The sequence below is a fragment of the Homo sapiens genome, chromosome 3 (genome assembly GCF_000001405.40).
Source record: "Homo sapiens chromosome 3, GRCh38.p14 Primary Assembly".
In the NCBI taxonomy this organism is placed as follows: Eukaryota; Metazoa; Chordata; class Mammalia; order Primates; family Hominidae; genus Homo; species Homo sapiens.
Window position 1 is genome coordinate 74312784 of NC_000003.12, and position 21377 is coordinate 74334160.

A 21377-nucleotide genomic window follows, 5' to 3' on the forward strand; every position below is an offset into this window, starting at 1 on the left:
CAAGGCATACTAAAAGGCAAAAATACATAGTTTGAAGAGACTGAACAAGCATCAGAACAAGAGTAAGATATAGCAGGAATGCTGGAATTATGAGACCAGGAATTTTAAAATTCTATGATTAATGTATTAAGGGGTTTAGTGAAAAAATAAACAAACATGTAAGAAAAGATGGATAAGGCAAGCAGAGAGATAGACATTCTAAGAACCAAAAACAAAAAAAAAAAGGTTAGAGATTGAAAACACTTTAACAGATATAAGGAACGACTTGGATTGGCTTATTAATAGACTGGGCATGGTTGAGAAAAAATTTCTGAGCTCAATGATACAAAAATAGAATCTTACAAAACAGAGAAAAACAGACTGAAAAAAACAGAACAGAATATGCAAGAACAATGGAACAACTACCAAGGGTATAACATACACATAAGGGAAATATCAGAAAGAGAAGAAAGGGAGAAAGGGAAAAAAGCAATTTTTGAAGCAATGGTGACTAAGAGTTTCACTCTAATAATGTCAGATACAAAATCACAGATCTAGGGAGCACAGAGAACACCAAGTAGAATATATGCCCCCAAGAAAACAGAAAGTCACAAAAACTAAAACAAGCAAACAAAACCCAAGAAATAAAACACCTTGGCATACCACAGAAAATGAAAGATTAAAAAAAAAATTTTGTAAAAAGTGAAAATTTTAAAAAACACTTTTTCCATAGAGAGGTGTGGAAGCCATAGACTCTTGGCTCCCTAAATGCTTGCTTAGAAATCACTGACATGAGGCAGTTGATTAATAGAGAAAAGACATACAAATTTATTTTCTGTGCATACGTGGGAGTCTTCTGTATGAAGACCCAATTTCCAAATGGGTCACAGAAATTTATACACCATTTTGAGGTTACGGAAAGAATGATGGCTTAGTAAAACAGGTTATGGAAGGTGGGAGAAGTGTCTGGATGGCAAAGCTGGCCTTGTATGTACATGAAGCCTCCCTCAGAGAGAATAGATGATACATGTTTCATTTCAGACTTCTAAATGTGTCAGACCCTCAATCTCTCCTGGATCTGGGGAAAGACATAGAAAGGGAAAGGGGCATGGCTGCATTAATGGGGATTATCTAGAGATCCAAATTTTCCCCATTTACTACAACAGCTTTGCAAAGCAGTTTTGTGGAGATGGCCAAGCAGTACCCATTTCAAAATATGTCAAATAAATATATGTTGGGGAAAATATTTTAATTTCCTTCAACTCCAACCCCATTCATGAGGGCTTTACCCCAATGCCCTATTCACTTCTAAAAGTCTCCACCTTCTAAGACCACTACTGTGGGAGTTAGGATTTCAACATGCAAATTTTGAGAAGACACAAATATTTAGACATAGCAACATGCTATGAAATGAGAAAAAAAGCAATCATATAAAATTCTCAATTAAACCACAAATGGCAGCAAGTGAGGAAGGCAAAAAAGGAACAAAGAACAAGATTAAAAAATAGAAAACTGTAAGAAATATGATAGAAATTAATGCAGATATCTCAATTACTACTTGAATATCTATAATCTAAATGCATCAATTAAAAGATAGAAATTGCCAGAATGTATCAAAAAGCCTAGACCCAATTACATGTTGTCTACAAAAACCTATGTTATATATGAAGACACACATAGATTAAAAGGGATAGCGAAATATATACTATGATTGTACTAATCAAAAGACAGCAGGAGTAGCTATATTAATTTCAAATATAGCAGAATTCAGATTAAGGAAAGTTGTCAGGGCTAATGAGGGGCATTACATAATAAAGGGACACTCCAAGAGGATGTAACAATTCTTTACGTGTATTTACCTAACAACAGAGCATCAAAATACATAAGGCAAATACAGATAGAACTTCAAGGAGAAACAGAGGAATCCAGTATCATATTTGGAGACTTCAACACCTCTCTATCAAGAATGAACAGATCCAACAGGCAGAAAACAAGTAAAGACTTAGTTGACCTCAACAGTACCTTCAATCAATTGTATATAATGGACATCTATAGACTACTTTATCCAACAGCAGTGTCAGAGGCGTTTGAATCAGAGTGACTCCACCTTGAGTCACAGCCATAGTAAAATGAGGCTGAGACCTTCTGTACTGCATTCCCAGGAGGTCAGCCATTCTTATTCACAGGGTGAGACAGGAGGTTGACACAAGATACGGGTCACAAAGATCCCATTGGTAAAACAAAAATGTAGTAAAGAAGCCAGCTGAAACCTATCAAAATCAAGATGCCAATAAAAGTGACCTTTGGTCATCCTTGCTGCTTGTTATACCCTAATTATAATGCATTAGCATGCTAAAAGACACTCCTGCCAGTGCCATGACAGTTCACATATGCCATGGCAACATCTAGAGGTTACCATATGTGGTCTAAAAGGAAGAGGAACCCTAAGTTCTGAGGAGTTGCTGTCCCTTTCCTGGAAATCTCATGAATAATCCATCCCTTGTTTAGCATATAATCAATAAACAACCATAAAAATAGTTATCCAGCAGATCTCGAGGCTGCTCTGCCTATGGAGTAGCCATTCTTTGTTTCTTTACTTCCCTGATAAACTTGTTTTCTCTTTACTCTGTGGACTCACCCTAAATTCTTTTCTTGCACAAGAATTAAGAACCCTCTCTTGGGGTCTGGATTGGGATTCCTTTCCAGTAACAACAGCAGGTTACACATTTTTCTCAAGCTCATATGGAATGTTCACCAAGAAAGACCACATACTGGGCTAGAAAACATACCTTAAAAATGTAAATGTATAAAAAATTCGTACAATGTCTCCTCTCAGACCGTAATAGAATTAAACTAAAAATCAATAACAGTAGCTAGAAAATCCTCAAATACTTGGATATTAAATTACACTCTTCTAAATAACACATGGATCAAAGAAAAAATCTCAAGTGAAATTGAAAAAGATCTTGTGGTGCTGGGATAATTGGTTATTCATATGCAGAAGAATGAAGCTGGACCCTTCCCTATCACCATACACAAAAATTAAGTCACGACGGATTAAAGACTTAAATGTAAGACATGAAACAATAAAAATCCTAGGAAACACCCTATGAAAATATTTTATATGGAAATACCCCATAAAAACATAGGAAATACTCTTTTTAATACTGGCCTTGGCAAATAATTTATTACTATGTCCTCAAAGGCAATTGCAACGTAATCAAAAATTGACAAGTGGGACCTAATTAAACTAAAGAGCTTCTGCACAGCAAGATAAATGATCAAGGGCATAAACTTACAGAATGGGAGAAAATACTTGCAAAGTAAGTATCCAATAAATGTCTAAGATTCAGAATCTATAAGGAACTTAAATCAACAATCAAAAACATAACCCTGATAGGAAGTGGGCAAATGACATGAACAGACACTTTTCAAAAGAAGATATACGAGTGGCCAAAAAACATATGAAAAAATGCTCATCATCACTAATCACCAGAGAAATGCAAATCAAAACCACAATGAGATACCATCTCACACCAGTAAGAATGGCTTTTGTTAAAAAGTAAAAAAATAACAGATGATGGCAAGGTTGTGGAGTAAAGGAAACAGGTATACACTGTTGGTGGGAATGTAAATTAGTACAGGCATTGTGAAAAGCATTTTGGAGATTTCCCAAAGAAGGAAAAGCTGAACTCCATTTAACCCAGCAATCCCATTACTAGGTACATAACCAGAGGAAAATAAAGCATTCTGCCAAAAACACATATGCACCCATATGTTCACCACAGTATTATTCACAATAGCAAAGATATGAAGTCCACCCAGGTGCCCATTAATGGGAGACTGGGTAAAGAAAATGTGGTACATATATACCATGAAATACTCTGCAACCATGAAAAAGATGAAATCATGGTGCACTTTGGGAGGCCGAGGTGGGCAGATCACGAGGTCAGGAGATCGAGACCATACTGGCTAACACGGTGAAACCCTGTCTCTACAAAAAATACAAAAAAAAATTAGCTGGCCGTGGTGGCGGGTGCCTGTAGTCCCAGCTACTCGGGAGGCTGAGGCAGGAGAATGGCGTGAACCTGGGAGGCAGAGCTTGCAATCAGCCGAGACCGCACCACTGCACTCCAGCCTGGGTGACAGAGTGAGACTCCATCTCAAAAAAAAAAAAAAAGTCTCCCATTATTATTGTGTGGGAGTCTAAGTCTCTTTGTAGGTCACTCAGGACTTGCTTTATGAATCTGGGTGCTCCTGTATTGGGTGCATATATATTTAGGATAGTTAGCTCTTCTTGTTGAATTGATCCCTTTACCATTATGTAATGGCCTTCTTTGTCTCTTTTGATCTTTGTTGGTTTAAAGTCTGTTTTATCAGAGACTAGGATTGCAACCCCTGCCTTTTTTTTGTTTTCCATTTGCTTGGTAGATCTTCCTCCATCCCTTTATTTTGAGCCTATGTGTGTCTCTGCATGTGAGATGGGTTTCCTGAATACAGCACACTGATGGGTCTTGACTCTTTATCCAACTTGCCAGTCTGTGTCTTTTAATTGGAGCATTTAGCCCATTTACATTTAAAGTTAATATTGTTATGTGTGTATTTGGTCCTGTCATTATGATGTTAGCTGGTTATTTTGCTCGTTAGTTGATGCAGTTTCTTCCTAGCCCTGATGGTCTTTACATTTTAGCATGTTTTTGCAGTGGCTGGTACCAGTTGTTCCTTTCCATGTTTAGTGCTTCCTTCAGGAGCTCTTTTAGGGCAGGCCTGGTGGTGACAAAATCTCTCAGCATTTGCTTGTCTGTAAAGGATTTTATTTCTCCTTCACTTATGAAGCTTAGTTTGGCTGGATATGAAATTCTGGGTTGAAAATTCTTTTCTTTAAGAATGTTGAATATTGGCCCCCACTATCTTCTGGCTTGTAGAGTTTCTGTGGAGAGATCAGCTGTTAGTCTGATGGGCTTCCCTTTGTGGGTAACCCGACCTTTCTCTCTGGCTGCCCTTAACATTTTTTCCTTCATTTCAACTTTGGTGACTCTGACAATTATGTGTCTTGGAGTTGCTCTTCTCGAGGAGTATCTTTGTGCCGTTCTCTGTATTTCCTGAATCTGAATGTTGGCTTGCCTTGCTAGATTGGGGAAGTTCTTCTGGATAATATCCTGCAGAGTGTTTTCCAACTTGGTTCCATTCTCCCTGTCACTTTCATGTACACCAATCAGACGTAGATTTGGTATTTTCACATAGTCCCGTATTTCTTGGAGGCTTTGTTCGTTTCTTTCTATTCTTTTTTCTCTAAACTTCCCTTCTTGCTTCATTTCATTCATTTCATCTTCCATCACTGATACCCTTTCTTCCAGTTGATCGCATCAGCTCCTGAGGTTTCTGCATTCTTCACGTAGTTCTCAAGCCTTGGCTTTCAGCTCCATCAGCTCCTTTAAGGACTTCTCTGCGTTTGTTATTCAGTTATCCATTTGTCTATTTTTTTTTCACAGTTTTTAACTTCTTTGCCATTGGTTTGAATTTCCTCCTGTAGCTCAGAGTAGTTTGATCGTCTGAAGTCTTCTTCTCTCAGCTCGTCAAAGTCATTCTCCATCTAGCTTTGTTCCGTTGCTGGTGAGGAGCTGCGTTCCTTTGGAGGAGGAGAGGCGCTCTGATTTTTAGAGTTTCCAGTTTTTCTGCTCTGTTTTTTTGCCATCTTTGTGGTTTTATCTACTTGTCGTCTTTGATGATGGTCACGTACAGAGGGGTTTTTGGTGTGGATGTCCTTTCTGTTAGTTTTCCTTCTAACGGACAGGACCCTCAGCTGCAGGTCTGTTGGAGTTGGAGTTTGCTAGAGGTCCACTCCAGACCCTGTTTGCCTGGGTATCAGCAGCGGTGGCTGCAGAACAGCGGTGGCTGTAGAACAGTGGATCTTGGTGAACTGCAAATGCTGCTGCCTGATCGTTCCTCTGGAAGTTTTGTCTCAGAGGAGTACCTGGCCATGTGAGGTGTCAGTCTGCCCCTACTGGGGGGTGCCTCCCAGTTAGGCTGCTCGGGGGTCAAGGACTCACTTGAGGAGGCAATCTGCCCGTTCTCAGATTTCCAGCTGCATGCTGGGAGAACCACTAGTCTCTTCAAAGCTGTCAGACAGGGAAATTTAAGTCTTCAGAGGTTACTGCTGTCTTTATATAAAATACCTAGGAATCCAACTTACAAGGGATATGAAGGACCTCTTCAAAGAAAACTACAAACCACTGCTCAATGAAATAAAAGAGAATACAAACAAATGGAAGAACATTCCTTGCTCATGGGTAGGAAGAATCAATATCGTTTAAATGGCCATACTGCCCAAGGTAATTTATAGATTCAATGCCATCCCCACCAAGCTACCAACGACTTTCTTCACAGAATTGGAAAAAACTACTTTAAAGTTCATATGGAACCAAAAAAGAGCCGGCGTCGCCAAGTCAATCCTAACCCAAAAGAACAAAGCCAGAGGCATCACGCTACCTGACTTCAAACTATACTACAAGGCTACAGTAACCAAAACAGCATGCTACTGGTACCAAAACAGAGATATAGATCAATGGAATAGAACAGAGCCCTCAGAAATAATGCCGCATATCTACAACCATCTGATCTTTGACAAACCTGACAAAAACAAGAAATGGGGAAAGGATTCCCTATTTAATAAATGGTGCTGGGAAAACTGGCTAGCAATATGTAGAAAGCTGAAACTGGATCCCTTCCTTACACCTTATACAAAAATTAATTCAAGATGGATTAAAGACTTACATGTTAGACCTAAAACCATAAAAACCCTAGAAGAGAACCTAGGCAATACCATTCAGGACATAGGCATGGGCAAGGACTTCATGTCTAAAACACCAAAAACAATGGCAACAAAAGCCAAAATTGACAAATGGGATCCAATTAAACTAAAGAGCTTCTGCACAGCAAAAGAAACTACCATCAGAGTGAACAGGCACCCTACAAAATGGGAAAAAATTTTCGCAACCTACTCATCTGACAAAGGGCTAATATCCAGAATCTACAATGAACTCAAACAAATTTACAAAAAAAAAAACAAACAACCCCATCAATAAGCAGGTGAAGGAGATGAACAGACACTTCTCAAAAGAAGACATTTATGCAGCCAAAAAACACATGAAAAAATGCTCACCATCACTGGCCATCGGAGAAATGCAAATCAATACCACAATGAGATACCATCTCACACCAGTTAGAATGGCGATCATTAAAAAGTCAGGAAAGAACAGGTGCTGGAGACGATGTGGAGAAATAGGAACACTTTGACACTGTTGGTGGGACTGTAACCTAGTTCAACCATTGTGGAAGTCAGTGTGGCGATTCCTCAGGGATCTAGAACTAGAAATACCATTTGACCCAGCCATCCCATTACTGGGTATATACCCAAAGGAGTATAAATCATGCTGCTATAAAGACACATGCACACGTGTGTTTATTGCAGCACTATTCACAATAGTAAAGACTTGGAACCAACCCAAATGTCCAACAACGATAGACTGGATTAAGAAAATGTGGCACATATACATCATGGAATACTATGCAGCCATAAAAAATGAAGAACTCATGTCCTTTGTAGGGACATGGATGAAGCTGGAAACCATCACTCTCAGCAAACTATCGCAAGGACAAAAAACCAAGCACCGCATGTTCTCACTCATAGGTGGGAATTGAACAATGAGAACACATGGACACAGGAAGGGGAACATCACACTCCAGGGACTGTTGTGGGGTGGGGGGACGTGGGAGGGATAGCATTAGGAGATATACCTAAGGCTAAATGACGAGTTAATGGGTGCAGCACACCAACATGGCACATGCCCTAAAACTTAAAGTATAATAACAATAAAATAAAAAAATGCAGCTTTTCAAAAAAGTAAACAAAAACAACAACAACAAAAAATTCAGACAGATCCAACTTCATGAAGACGTCCCTGAGCCTCATGGTTAGAACTCATGGTTAGAACTAACCACTCCCTCCAGTGCACAACCTTTAGAGCACACTTTTATTGTGGACATATGCAATTTTTCATGTATGCCAGCCTCCTCTGATAATAGTAAGCTCTTCAGAATCAGGATTATGTCTTGTCTATGTCTATATCCTCAACTGGGCACAGTGCTTGAAATTCAGCACATATTCAATAAATATATGTTGAATTGAAAAAAAAAAAAGAATGAAATCATGGCTTTTGCAGCAACATGGATGCAGCTGGAAACCACCATCTTAAGTGAACTAACAGCAACAGAAAACCAAATACCAAATGTTCTCAGTTATAAGTGGGAGCTAAACACTGGGTATACATGAACATACATATAAGAACAATAAACACTGGAGAATACAAGAGGGAGGAGGACTGGGGGCACAAGAATTGAAGACTATTGGGTACTATGCTCAGTACCTGGGTGATGGATTCAAATACTCCAAACCTTGGCATCATGCAATATACCTTTAACAAACCTGTATGTGTGCCCACTGATCCTAAAATAATACTTAAACAAAAATAAAATTTGTATATATTATATGATTTTATCTCAATAAAAGGTGGTTTTAAATTAAAAAAAGATTTTGAACTAAACAAAAACAGAAATACAACATCATAATTTGTAGAATATAGTCAAAGCTACGCCTAGAGGAAAATTTATGTCATTGAGTGCATATAAAAGCAAAAAGAAGGAGCCAAAACCAATAATCTAAGCTTTTTGCTTCAGAAAACTGGAAAAATAGAGCAAATCAGATCCAAATAAAAGGAATAAAAAAAATCAACAGTGAAAATGAATAAACTTGAAAACTGCAAGTCAACAAAGGAAATCAGCAAAAGCTGATTCTTTGAAAAGAGCAATAAAATCAATCATCTCTAGCTAGGCTACTTAAGAAAAAAAGAGAAGACACAAATAACTAGTATCAGAAATTAAAAAGGAAACATCATTACAGACCCTATGTATATTAAAAGATAATAAAAAAATTATGAACAATGCTATGTCTACAAATTTGAGAACCTAGATGAAATGGATCAATTCCTTGAAAGATATAATCTGCCAAAAGTTATACAAAAATAAGTAGATAACACAAATAGTCTTACATATAATAGATACATTGAATCAATGATTAATAATTTTCCCAAACAGAAAGCACCAGGTCCAGATGGGTTCAATGGTGAATCCGAGGTGGGCAGATCACCTGAGGTCAGAAGTTCGAAATCAGACTGGCCAACATGGTGAAACCCCGTCTCCACTAAAAATACAAAAATTAGCCAGGTGTGGTGGTACACAGTTGTAGTCCCAGCTACTTGGGGAGCTGAGGCAGGAGAATTGCTTGAACCCAGGAGGCAGCAGGTGCAGTTAGCTGAGATTGTGACATTGCACTCCAGCCTGGGTGACTCAAAAAAAAAAAAAAAAAAAGATGTTAACAGAATGAGAAGATGAGCCATAGACTTGGAGAACATATTTGCAAAAGACAAATCTGACAAAGGGCTGTTAGACAAAATATAGAAAAATCTCTTAAAACTTCCCAATACAAAAATGAACACCCTGATGAAAAAGTGGGCAAAAGACCTGAACCAACACTTCATCAAAGACTATATGCAGATGGCAAGTAAGAATACAAAAATATGTTCAACATCATATTTCACTAGGGAATTGCAAATTAAAACGAGATACCACTACATATCTATTAGATTGGCCAAAATCCAGACACTGACAACATAAAATTCTGGCGAGGATGTAGAGTAGCAGGAACTCTCATTTATCACTGGTGGGGATGCAAAATGTTATAGCCATTCTGCAAGACAGTCCAGCAGTTTCTTACAAAATTAAACATACTCCTACCATAAGATCCAGCAATCATGCTCTTTGGTACTTACCAAAATGAACTGAAAACTTATGTCCAATAAAAAACTGCACACAGATGTATATAGCAGCTTTATTCATAATTGCCAAAACATGGAAGCAACCAATATATCCTTTAGTAGATGAGTGGATAAATAAACGGTGATACATCCAGATACTGGGATATTATTCAGCACTAAAATGAGCTGAGATATCAAGCCATGAAAAGACATGGAGGAACTTAAAAGTATATTACTAAGTGAAAGAGGCCCATTTGAAAAGGCTATATACTATATGAGTCCAACAATATGACATTCTGGAAAAGGCAAAACTATTGAGACAATAAAAAGATTAGTGGTTGCCAGAAGTTAGGAGGGCTGGAAGAAATGAACAGGCAGGGTACAGAGGATTTTTAGGGCGGTGAAGCTATTCTGCGAGATACTACAACAGTGGATACATGCCATTATACACTTGCACCAATAGAATGCACAAGATGAAGAATGAACTCCAATGTAAACTATTAACTTGGGGTAATAATGATGTGTCAATGTAGGTTCATAGATTATAAAAAATGTGCCACTCTGGTATGGGATGCTGATAGTTGAGGAGGGTGTGTGTGTGGGAGGATGGGGGCACATGGGTACTTTCTGTACTTTCAGTTCAATTTTACTATGAACCTTAGCAACTGTGTAATAAATAAAGTTTATTTTTTAAAAGGGGTCCATCTCAAATGACCACATATTATGTTTCCATTTATATGAAATGTCCAGAATATGCAAATAGGTATATAGAGAAAGTAGATCGGTGGTTGCCTCTGCCTGAGGGTGAAGGTTGGGGATTTCGAAAGTTCTGGTTAAGGGATATGAGCTTTCTTTTTGAGATAACAAAGATACTCTAAAACTAACTATTGCAATGAAAGTACAGCTCTGTGAATATGTTAGAAGCCACTGCATCTTATACTTTAAGTGGATACATTGCATGGTATGGGAATCACATCTCAATAAAGCCATTAAAAAACTACCTAAGCCAGCATGAGTAAAGGTAAAGCTATCATCAGCAGATACCATTTTTCTCCTCATTTGATATGATTTATTTGTTTATTTATGGAATTTATTGCATTTCCCCTTTTTTTGACTTCAGGCTCCTTTTGCAAGATGTACTCATGAACCTTAATCCTGTCAGCCTTTGTCAAACAAAATAAGCCAAAATTATAAACTGCAGCTCTTTCCACCAGTCAACATCAGCGTCAGCCTCCCAGAGATGAGATTTTTTTTAAATTTTCAAGTCACAGCTGTAGGTAAATATCTGTTAAGATATTTAAAATTTGGAGGAACTGAAGGAATTATAAACAATATCAAATGAATTACTACTGACTCTCTTAGAACTTTCAGAGATTTAAAAAAAACCATATATTACTGTATTTGGATTTTTGTATGCTGGTATATACACAAATATACTCACATGTACATAAACATATACAGTGTAATTCTTTGGTGGTATCTTATATTTTTCAATATGAATTCCAATAGTGGAACTCCAGTATGTCCTAAGATATTAATAACACAGATAACCCACACCCTCTCAAACTAACTCTTCTTCTTCTTTTTTTTTTTTTGAGACAGAGTTTTGCTCTGTCTTGCAGTCTGGAATGCAGTGGTTCAATCTCCGCTCACTGCAACCTCTGCCTCCCGGGTTCAAGCGATTCTCCTGTCTCAGCCTCCCGAGTAGCTGGGAATACAGGTGTGTGCCACCTCGCCCAGGTAATTTTTAATTTTTGGTAGAGACGGAGTTTTGCCATGATGGCCAGGCTGGTTGGCCTCAGCCTCCCAAAGTGCTGGAATTACAGGCTGAGCCACCACGCTCGGCCAAAGGCAACTCTTCTAAGAATTGTCAAGTGATGTAATTTTATTGAAGGCTTGTGGTGAAACAAGATGAAGTTCACAGCAAAATCTGCCAGAAGTTTTCTTTAAATATCTGTATTTCTTTCAAAGTTTTTCTCCCAGAGTCATAACTTCTCTAACATCCCAAAATAGTCTTCTGTAACCTTTACGAACATTGGTTCTAAAATCTGCCTGTCTCTCCTCAAATTCTCCTAGCTTTATATCCCACTCAATCCAAGAAAACTAATGAAAATTCTTAGCCAAAGAAGAAGGTAGACTTGTTTGATTACTCAAAAATGAAAAAAAAAATTCTGAAAGATGTAATAGACAAAGTTAACAGAAAAGTGACATAAAATTTGTCCTCTGTGAAAGGTGGAGCCTGTACTGTGAGAGAAAACTAGTATATATATCGGGAATTTGTGTGTAAGTGAAAGATTTCCTGCTGTGCTCCAAAGAATTCTCTTCAAAGGACACATGAAGGAGGTAACAATCTGATACATGCACATTAATACATGTATTGAAATATCAGTTTGTACCCCATAAATATGTACAATTGTTGCATGTCTATTAAAAATAAAAGCAAAATCTGATATGCACATGTAAATTTCATTACTTTGTCTTTGGCAAAAAAAAAAAATCTTATGTAGCTGAGAGTTGTCTTGAAGCAGTTTGCATTTTGTTTTATAACTTTTGAATGTTACTCTATGCTAGATTTTCTTTTAAATTAATATCCTATACAATAATCCAGGCAACTAGGTTTTGTTGTGAATTTCTCTAGCTAGAAATAAAAGGTAGTTTTTTCTTGCTCTTCTCTGCAGAAGTAAACTTGTATTTCACAAGAGATAGTATCAACTCCCAATTTTCTTGATTTGGAAGAGTCAGTTATAATTCCCAATCTTTCCTCAGTATCCAAATTCCTAATAAGCAAATGGAGAGATTTTCAATCTCATTAATCTGAGAAATGAGAGGTTGGGGGTAATGAGATATGGCTTCTCAGCCATCTGTTGGCAAAAATTTTAAAAAAATGAAGGAAAAACTCGTGCAGAAAAGAATATGGGGAAGCAGGACCCCTTTACTAGTACTGATAGGAATATAAATAGCTGCAGCTTTCCTGGGGAACAATTTAGAAATAATACTACCACTACTGCTGGCAGTAGTAATGACCCAAAAGAGCTAACTTCTGTTGTCCTTGGCACTTTACAAATACCTCTAAGTAAAGTATTATCAACATCTCAATTTTGCAGATGATGTAACTGAGACAGAGATAAAGATCAACAGTATATAAGAGAAAGGCATAGGTTTCAAACGCTGACATTCTGTTTCAGATTTTGGAATGATGAAACTATATGTGTGTCACACCAATCTGATCTACTAATTTCCTATCTGAGCTAATACCCCCAGAATATTCTCTGGAAATTAATGACGAGGCATCATTACTTGTCTTTCAAAGTGCTATTAACTATTCTTATCCCTACTTGATTTCTTACTCTAAGCACTCTCAGAATTGTTTAAACTGAGATCTGATTGGTAGTATTTTAAAGTTTTGGAGAAACCTGGGAAAAATTAAAATCTTGTAATGTGTGCCTGCTTTATTTCATCTAGAAATATTGACTATTTCATGTTTCTTTCCCCCTCTCTGTCTGTCATTATATCTCTCTTTCTATCTCTGGCCAAATTTAGAGAGTATTGTAGGTGCTTTTATGTAGGCCTCACACACTTCTTGTACAAATTATTAACATGAATTTATCTATCTTTTCAGGGAGGTTTTGTCCTGTTATATTTTCTCATTGGTTATTGTTGATACAAAGGAAAACTATTACTTAAAAATGTTAATACATATTTTAAGTAGACACATATTAATTGTACATATTTATGCATTACAGTGTAATATTTAGATATATGTATGAGATATATAATAATCAAAATAGAATAATTAGCGCATCTGTCACCTCAAAGCATTTATTTGTGTTGGGAACATTCAGAATCCTGTATTCTAGCTATTTGAAAACATACAACAAATTATTATTATAGTCACCTTACAGTGCTATAGACAACTAGTTGTAAGAAAGCTATGAATATCCTCCTATCTAGCTGTAAGGAAGCTATTATTTTTTGCAATTTACCTGGCATCCAAGCAGTTGACTGAAGTCATTAATTAAAAAAAAATTTAGAGTTGATACTATTGGGTTTTGAGTAGCCCTAATATAAAAAATTTTAGAGTTGATACTATTGGGTTTTGAGTAGCCCTAATATAATTTTGTCCTCAAATAATGTTTGTTTCCTTATTTTCATAGTCACCTTTTATTTGTTTCATACTTTATTGCATTGACCCAAATATGTCCAAATGATATTTGTGTGTAGCCTCACCTTGTTGATGATTTAAATAACAATATTTCTGGTATTTTTCCTTTAAAGACACTTTTGGGATGTGGAAGAAGTATCTTTGTGTTCCTATTTTAGTATGAATTTAAAAGTCAGTAATTGGTCATTATTTTTATTGAATGTCATCTTAGTATCAATCGAGAATATTGTGGTTTGTTTTATTAGGTCTATTGATATGATGTATGTACATTTCCTGGGATATCCTAAAGTAGCTTATGAAGGGTTAATCCTTTTTTTTTTTTTTTTTTTTTTTTTGTTTGTTTGTTTGTTTGAGACAGAATTTCTCTGGTTGCCCAGGCTGGAGTGCAATGGCGCAATCTCAGCTCACTGCAACCTCTCCCTCCTGAGTTCAAGCCATTGTCCTGGCTCAGCCTCTCGAGTAGCTGTGATTACAGGCATGTGCCACCACGCCTGGCTAATTTTTGTATTTTTAGTAGAGACAGGGTTTCACCATGTTGGTCAGGCTGGTCTCGAACTCCTGACCTCAGTGATCCACCTGTCTTGGCCTCTCAAAGTGCTCGTATTACAGGCATGAGCCACCATGCCTGGAAGGGTTAATCTTTGAATATAATGTTCAATCTGGTTTGCTAAAATTTCCCTTAAGTTTTCTTACTGTATTCATGTGATCAGTTTGTATTTACTAAGTATTTACTATCTTGGTAGGTTTTGTTCATAGGACTATGCTAGACTAACAAAATAAGTTAAAAATATTTCACACTTTTAATGTTGTCAAATAGTTTACATAACACAAAATATTTATCTATTTCCTTAAAATTTGAGAAACAAAAATTACCAGTAAAATTATCTAGCCCTAAAATCCTTATTATTGGTGGAGGTGGAAAATTGATTTGCAAGTTTTCATAATAATGAATCTACCTAAGTAGACAATTTTAATTTCATTTTTATTTTAAATTAATTAAATTTAAATTTTGATAATTTATATTTCTGCAGAAATGGTCCATTTAACTAGAATTTCATACATATGACCTGAATATGGAATCTTTTGTGTTTTTACATTTCTTTTTTATCTCTTATATTCTTTTTCTAATGTCTAATTTTAGTTTTTCTTTTCTCTTTATTCTTCATTGGTATATTCTGTAGATTATCAATTGCTTTTTGATATTATATGAATTTTATTTGTTCTTTCTCCTTCATGTACATATGTTTTGTTATTTTTATTAACCAAATTTTGCAAAGATATAGAAAGAATAAAAAGGAGTGTGTATTTTTTATCTGTAGGATTATTTTTTTCATATATTTCTGTTACTTCAATTAATTACAGTATCAAAATAATCTGTCTAATATTTAGCAAATTGATCTACTGATAGTTGAAAGAAGGGCTCTCAAAGTCTACACAGTCTTATTTCTTACTAGTTCTTTGTTCTTGACCTGATAAGTTTTAATCATACATTATTTGAGGTATTATTTTATTTTCATGACAAAAGGAAATTTTTCCAAAAAAAATTTATCCTTTTTGCTTTTAAGGTTTGCCATGAATTATTCTTTGATGGAAATTAACATTTGTTGCACTCTCCTTCTGTTGTATTTACATAATAAATATTTGCATATATTTTCCTTTATGTCATTTCATTTATAGCCTTGGTTTGTTTTAACTCTGCTGTTTTTATGGGCTTTAGTACAAGAAGTCACATGTTGCTTGTTTTGACTTATTCTTGTAAATTTAAGTCTACCTTACAGGATTTCCACTGGGGATGGCTTTGGACTATTCATCTTCATAAATATTGTACTTGATAAATACAGCCCTTGGACATCAATCACACTTTAAGCAGGAACTGAGCCTTTATTTGCCTGGTTGAATAAATGATGAGTCAGGCAAATAACTACACATCAACAGTTTTGTGTATTACCCCCTTTTCCAGCTGGAATTGGGGAATTCTTGTTTCTTTACCAGCAAATAACATTATGGGAAGAGTCATGCTTCAACGACGTGGGTTCAAGATAAATAATAATTCCTCTGGTCTGTTCCCCACTTTTGTGAATTTGTTTCTGGGTACATTCTCTTAATAGTTATTTCAAGTCAGCTGATGCTTTGAATTTGGACAAGATACAAAATGTATAATATAGTCCAACGGGGATATGCTTAAAAACTCAGAATACCCCCAGAAGTTGTTTGGGGAATGAGTGCTTTCCTTTACATAAAATTGTTTACATAGTTATAAAGAGCTGCTGTTTTCAAAATTTTAGTCTTCACACACAAATAATTCTATGAAATAAATCAAGTCAAAGTGGCCACTTGTATTATCACACAAAGGATCAATTTCAAAGATATTCTTTTCTACCACTGAGAGCTGAAAAATACATCAAATCTCAAGCTCATGTGTAGCTGCTGTAACTAGAGTGAAATTGTGGCTTGTGGGAAATAAATCATATTGAAGTGAGCCATTTAAATGAATGGCAGATTGGTTGTCACTGCTCAAGTTTTTATTACTTCCAGTGACTTTTATCCACAAACATTCTAATTTATCATAGATCCAATTCCACAAAGTGTTGGGAAAGCTGTACACCTTGGCTCTAGACATTCTTTATTTCTAAAGTAACTGCACCACATAGGGTTTATCAAAGCATATATATTTAAACATCCTTACAATACAGGGTGAACTAGTGTGTTTACGTCCAAAAGTTTCTCTCTGTAGGGAGCCTCTGGCATATAATGCATGTAAGTCCAAAAGTTAGCTTACTGAGCAAGTCAAAATTATCCCTCAACATTTGTAAAATCATACTTAAATTACCAGGCCCTAGGTCTTCACATACCAGTCAACAGTGTTCTTTGGTTTCTCTTGAACTTTGGAATATTACCTCCCTTTTCCTATCGATGGATGCTAAGCTCTATTTAAAAGTAAGGAAACAAAGATGTTCTACAGGGGTAAATAATGGAGTAAAATTCATTGCTTAAATATAGGTATAATAGAACACTACCATAAACATATAGCTAGGCCTGTATCTCTTCTTGTGATTCTGCATATGTGAAATAGTGTACACATTCTTATTTACATTCACACCATCATATATGAAGATATCTAGATACAGGCAAAAAAAGAGAGAAAACTGTGTTCCAGGAAGAGATCTCATGGCAGGAGAGAATGGGATAAATACAGTTACGTGTCACCACATAAGGACTTTTTGGTCAAGGATGGACCACATATATGACAGTGGTCCCATAAGATTATAATGGAGCTGCCTGGGCCTAGTGCCTCATGCCTGTAATCCCAGCACTTTGGGAGGCCAAGACGGGCAGATCACCTGAGGTCAGGAGTTCAAGACCAGCCTGGCCAGCATGGTGAAACCCCATCCCTACTAAAAATACAAAAATTAGCCGGACACGGTGGTGCATGCCGGTAGTCCCAGCTAGTAGGGAGGCTGAGCCTTGAGGATCATTTGAACCTGGGAGGCAGAGGTTGCAGTGAGTCAAGATCGTGCCACTGCACTCCAGCCTGAGTGACACAGTGAGACCCTGTCTCAAAAAAAAAAAAAAAGTTTCTATTGACTAGTGACACTGTAGCCATCATAATATTACAGCACAATGCCTTACTGATGCATTTGTGATGATGCTGAGGTAAACAAACCTACTGTGCTGCCTGTCATATAATAGTCTAGCACATACAATTATGTACAGTACATAATACTTGATAATCATGATAAATGACCATGTTAATAGTTTATACCATTTACTATACCATACTTTATATTGTCATTTTATAGTGTACTTCTTCTACAAATTAAAAAAGTTAACTATAAAAGAGTCTCATATAGGTCCTTCAGGAGGAATTCCAGAAGAAGGCATTGCTGTCCTATGAGATGACAGCACCATGCATGTTATTGCCCCTGCAGACCTCCCAGTGAGACATGCTGTGGAGGCACAAGACAGTGATATTGACGATCCTGACCCTGCGTAGGCCTAGGGTAACCTGTGCCTTTGTGTATTCATTTTTGACAAAAATGTTCAAAATGAAAAAAAAAATTAAAAACAGAAAAAAAGCTTATCCTTATTGACTAAGGATATAAATAAAATATTTTTGTATAGCTGTACAATGTGTGTTTTAAGCTGGGTGTTAATGACAAAACAGTCAAAAAGTCTAAAAAGGTTAAAAGTTTATAAAGTAAAAAAGTTATGGTAAGCTACGGTTAATTTATTATTGAAGAAAGAAAATACTTCTTATAAATTGAGTGTATCCTAAGTGTACAGTGTTTCTAATGTTTTCAGTAGTGTACAGCAATGTCCTAGCCTTCACCTTCACTCACCACTCACTCACTGACACCCAGAGCAAGTTCCAGTCCTGCAAACTCCATTCACAGTAAGTGCCCTATACAGGTGCACCTTTTTGAAAATCCTTTATGCCGTATTTTTACTGTACCATTTCAATGTTTAGACACACAAATACTTGCCATTCTGTTAAACTGCCCACAGCATTCAGGGCAGTGGCATGTTGTGCAAGTTTGCAGGGCAGGAGGAATAGGCTATACCACACAGCCTGGGTGTGTAGTAGGCTGTATCATTAGGTTTGTGTAAGTGCACCCTACGATGTCCACATAAGGACGGAATTGCCTAGTAACACATTTCTCAGAATGTATCCCCATCGTTAAGCAACATGTGACTGTACTAAAAACTGATGTGAAAAGAGATCCGAAAATAAGACCAAAAAATTACGTGACTCACTCACCCATGGGCATCAACCAGCAAACAACAGCACCCAGAACTCTTGTGTATCTGAATACAAATCCACCTCTTCCGAAACTGAACCACATCGTGCCTATGATTGAACTTTTCTTGGCAAACAGGAACTTATGTGGAAGTCTTTTCCTGCTGATTTAATGATACGACTTTTTGATTCGCCCCATGATCATGGACTGAAACCTACTCCTCCTTTGTGATGTGCCAATTTGTTTTAGACACTTAGTTTCATAAAGCTTTTCTGAATGTATTATTCCAATTGTGCAAAAATCTGTGACTGGTGTCATCATGCTCCTTTGGCACAATTTCAAATCTATACAGTAGATCTGGTTTAAATTATTGGAGCTTTCTGAGCTTATGGATTTTTTCCAAAAGGCCTGTGTTTTTTAAAACAAATGAATGGCTGTTGACTACTTAGCATAGTTCCAATAATTGGCTGATTCAGTTCAAAGCTATGAGTTGTATTTTCTATAACCTGAACTACCCCTAACCTATTTTTAAAACATAGTTCTTACTATCCACCTTTCTAGGCAACTTTCCCACTTATCAGCCTCCTTGTTCACATTTTGCTGCTTTTGGAAACGGGATATATCTATGAACCCACTGGGGAAAAAGGCAAGCAGACTATCTTTGTATTAATGTGCATGCTGCAATGAATACACAATCAGAGGACAAGACTTGTTACATGATTCCCTTCTCATGCAACAGAAAACTGATTTACTTAATTGCCTGTGCTTAAGGGTAATGTCATCTTGTATGGCTTACTGTTTTATACTGATGGGAGAATATTAAGTTACTAATGGCACAAAAAATTCTTAGGCCATGAACTAGCATGGTAGAGAAAGAACAGAATTGGCAAGCGGTAGCATTAATTTATGAAATTTCATGTTGCAGACACCTGACTTGTACAGAGATGACTTAATGCCTTCTTTAGAACCTATCAGTGCTATGTAAATCAAGATAGTTAAATTACATTATAAACTCGAATGTTTTTAACTCCAAGCTTTTCTGAAAGATAGCTGCAATCTGGCTCAGTCTTAGTGTTTCTTTGTAACTGTTTGATGCATATTACAGTCAAACTACTTTGGATTTTTCAGTCTTTCATTACACATTTATTTAGCAGTAGCTAAGACAGAGGAACCGTATTGGATAAACTATTATCAACAGCTCACAATCCAGCTGAGAAATCAATCACAAACATAATTATCTTCATTATAATGGCAAAGGTGACTAATGTTTCAAATGGAATTCTTCAATAATTAAAAGTAGTAGAAGAGCTGGATTAGAGAAGCCTTTCCCAGATTGGGTAAAGGGTCTTTATGAAAGTAACATTTTAGGCTTCTTCTTGAGGCCCAAGGAAGAAGAAATTGTTAACTTGTAAGACAGCCTGAGTATGGAGTAGAGAGCTAGCTCAGAATATGGCCTATGCCTTTTCCTATCATGACAGAAAAAAGCAGTGACAATTTAAAAATAAATAGACATTTACAACAATAGTAAAAGTAAAGCTAAAAGATTTTAGCAATTGGTGAAGTTCTCAAAGGCTGTGAATCAGTCAGAACAATTAGAAAAGCAGTAATTCCAAAACGGAATAAATGACAGAAAATAGAAAGGGTCCTAAAATTACACTTAATTGTAGTTAGGTATCTAAACGTCTCAATTTCTCTTTTCCTTTTAAAAACTTTCTTTTTTCTGTACTAGCTTCCTAAGGTTGCCGTAAGGCAGTACCAAAAACTTGGTGGCTTAACAGAAATGTATCCTCTCACAGTTCTGATGGCTGGAAGTCTGAAATCAAGGTGCTGGCAGAGCCAGGCTCCCTGCAAAATCTCTAAGGGGAAATTCTTCCTTGCCTCTTCCAGCTTCTGGTGGCTCCAGGCATTCCTTGGCTTGTGGCAGCACACCTCTGTTCTGGGCCTTCATCCTAATTGGTCCATCTCTCCTCTGTGTCTGTGCTTCACATGGCATTCTCCTCTTTGTGTGTCTATGTCCAAATGGCCTTCTTTTTATAAGGACAACAGTTATACTGAATAAGGGCCCATTTTAATCCAGGATGACCTCATCTTAATTTAACTAATGGCTTCCACGATAAGGCAATTTCCAAATAAGGTCACATTCTGAGGTATTGGACATTAAGAATATATTTTTGGGAGGACACAATTCAACTCAAAACGCCATCCTTTAAGTTGCATATGATTTTAATATGTTAACATGCCGATGTATACAAATACATACATTTAATAAGAAGTCTTTGTCAAATGAACACAGTTGAGTTGACCATCATATGGCTTTCTACTTTACTGAGGCCTGTATGTGAAGTCCATAATTGACAAAACCAGACTTGACTGTCCACCATGGACCTCTTTACCAAAAGAATGAAGCTGTCCTTGAGTCAGTGCAAACAGTCCTACAAGGGAAGCTAGCTTTGCAATTCCAGATTCATAAACATGCTGTGAGGCTTACCATTAGCCTGGGTGGCTCACCAGCATTAAGCCACTTCTTGACCATTCCCCTCAAAGTGACAATTTTTCCTTAAAATCTGTAAATCTTTCTAATGTGGAATCATCACAAAAGAAGAGACAGAATGGAAACATTAGAAA

At 36.7% G+C, this 21377-nt stretch overlaps 1 protein-coding gene across 5 annotated transcripts in view; it reads right to left on the reverse strand.

Annotated features, from left to right (window-relative positions):
- CNTN3 (contactin 3) overlaps positions 1-21377 on the reverse strand; it is a 352092-nt gene that overhangs the window by 50216 nt on the left and 280499 nt on the right. The gene's annotated exons all lie outside the window — the stretch shown is intronic.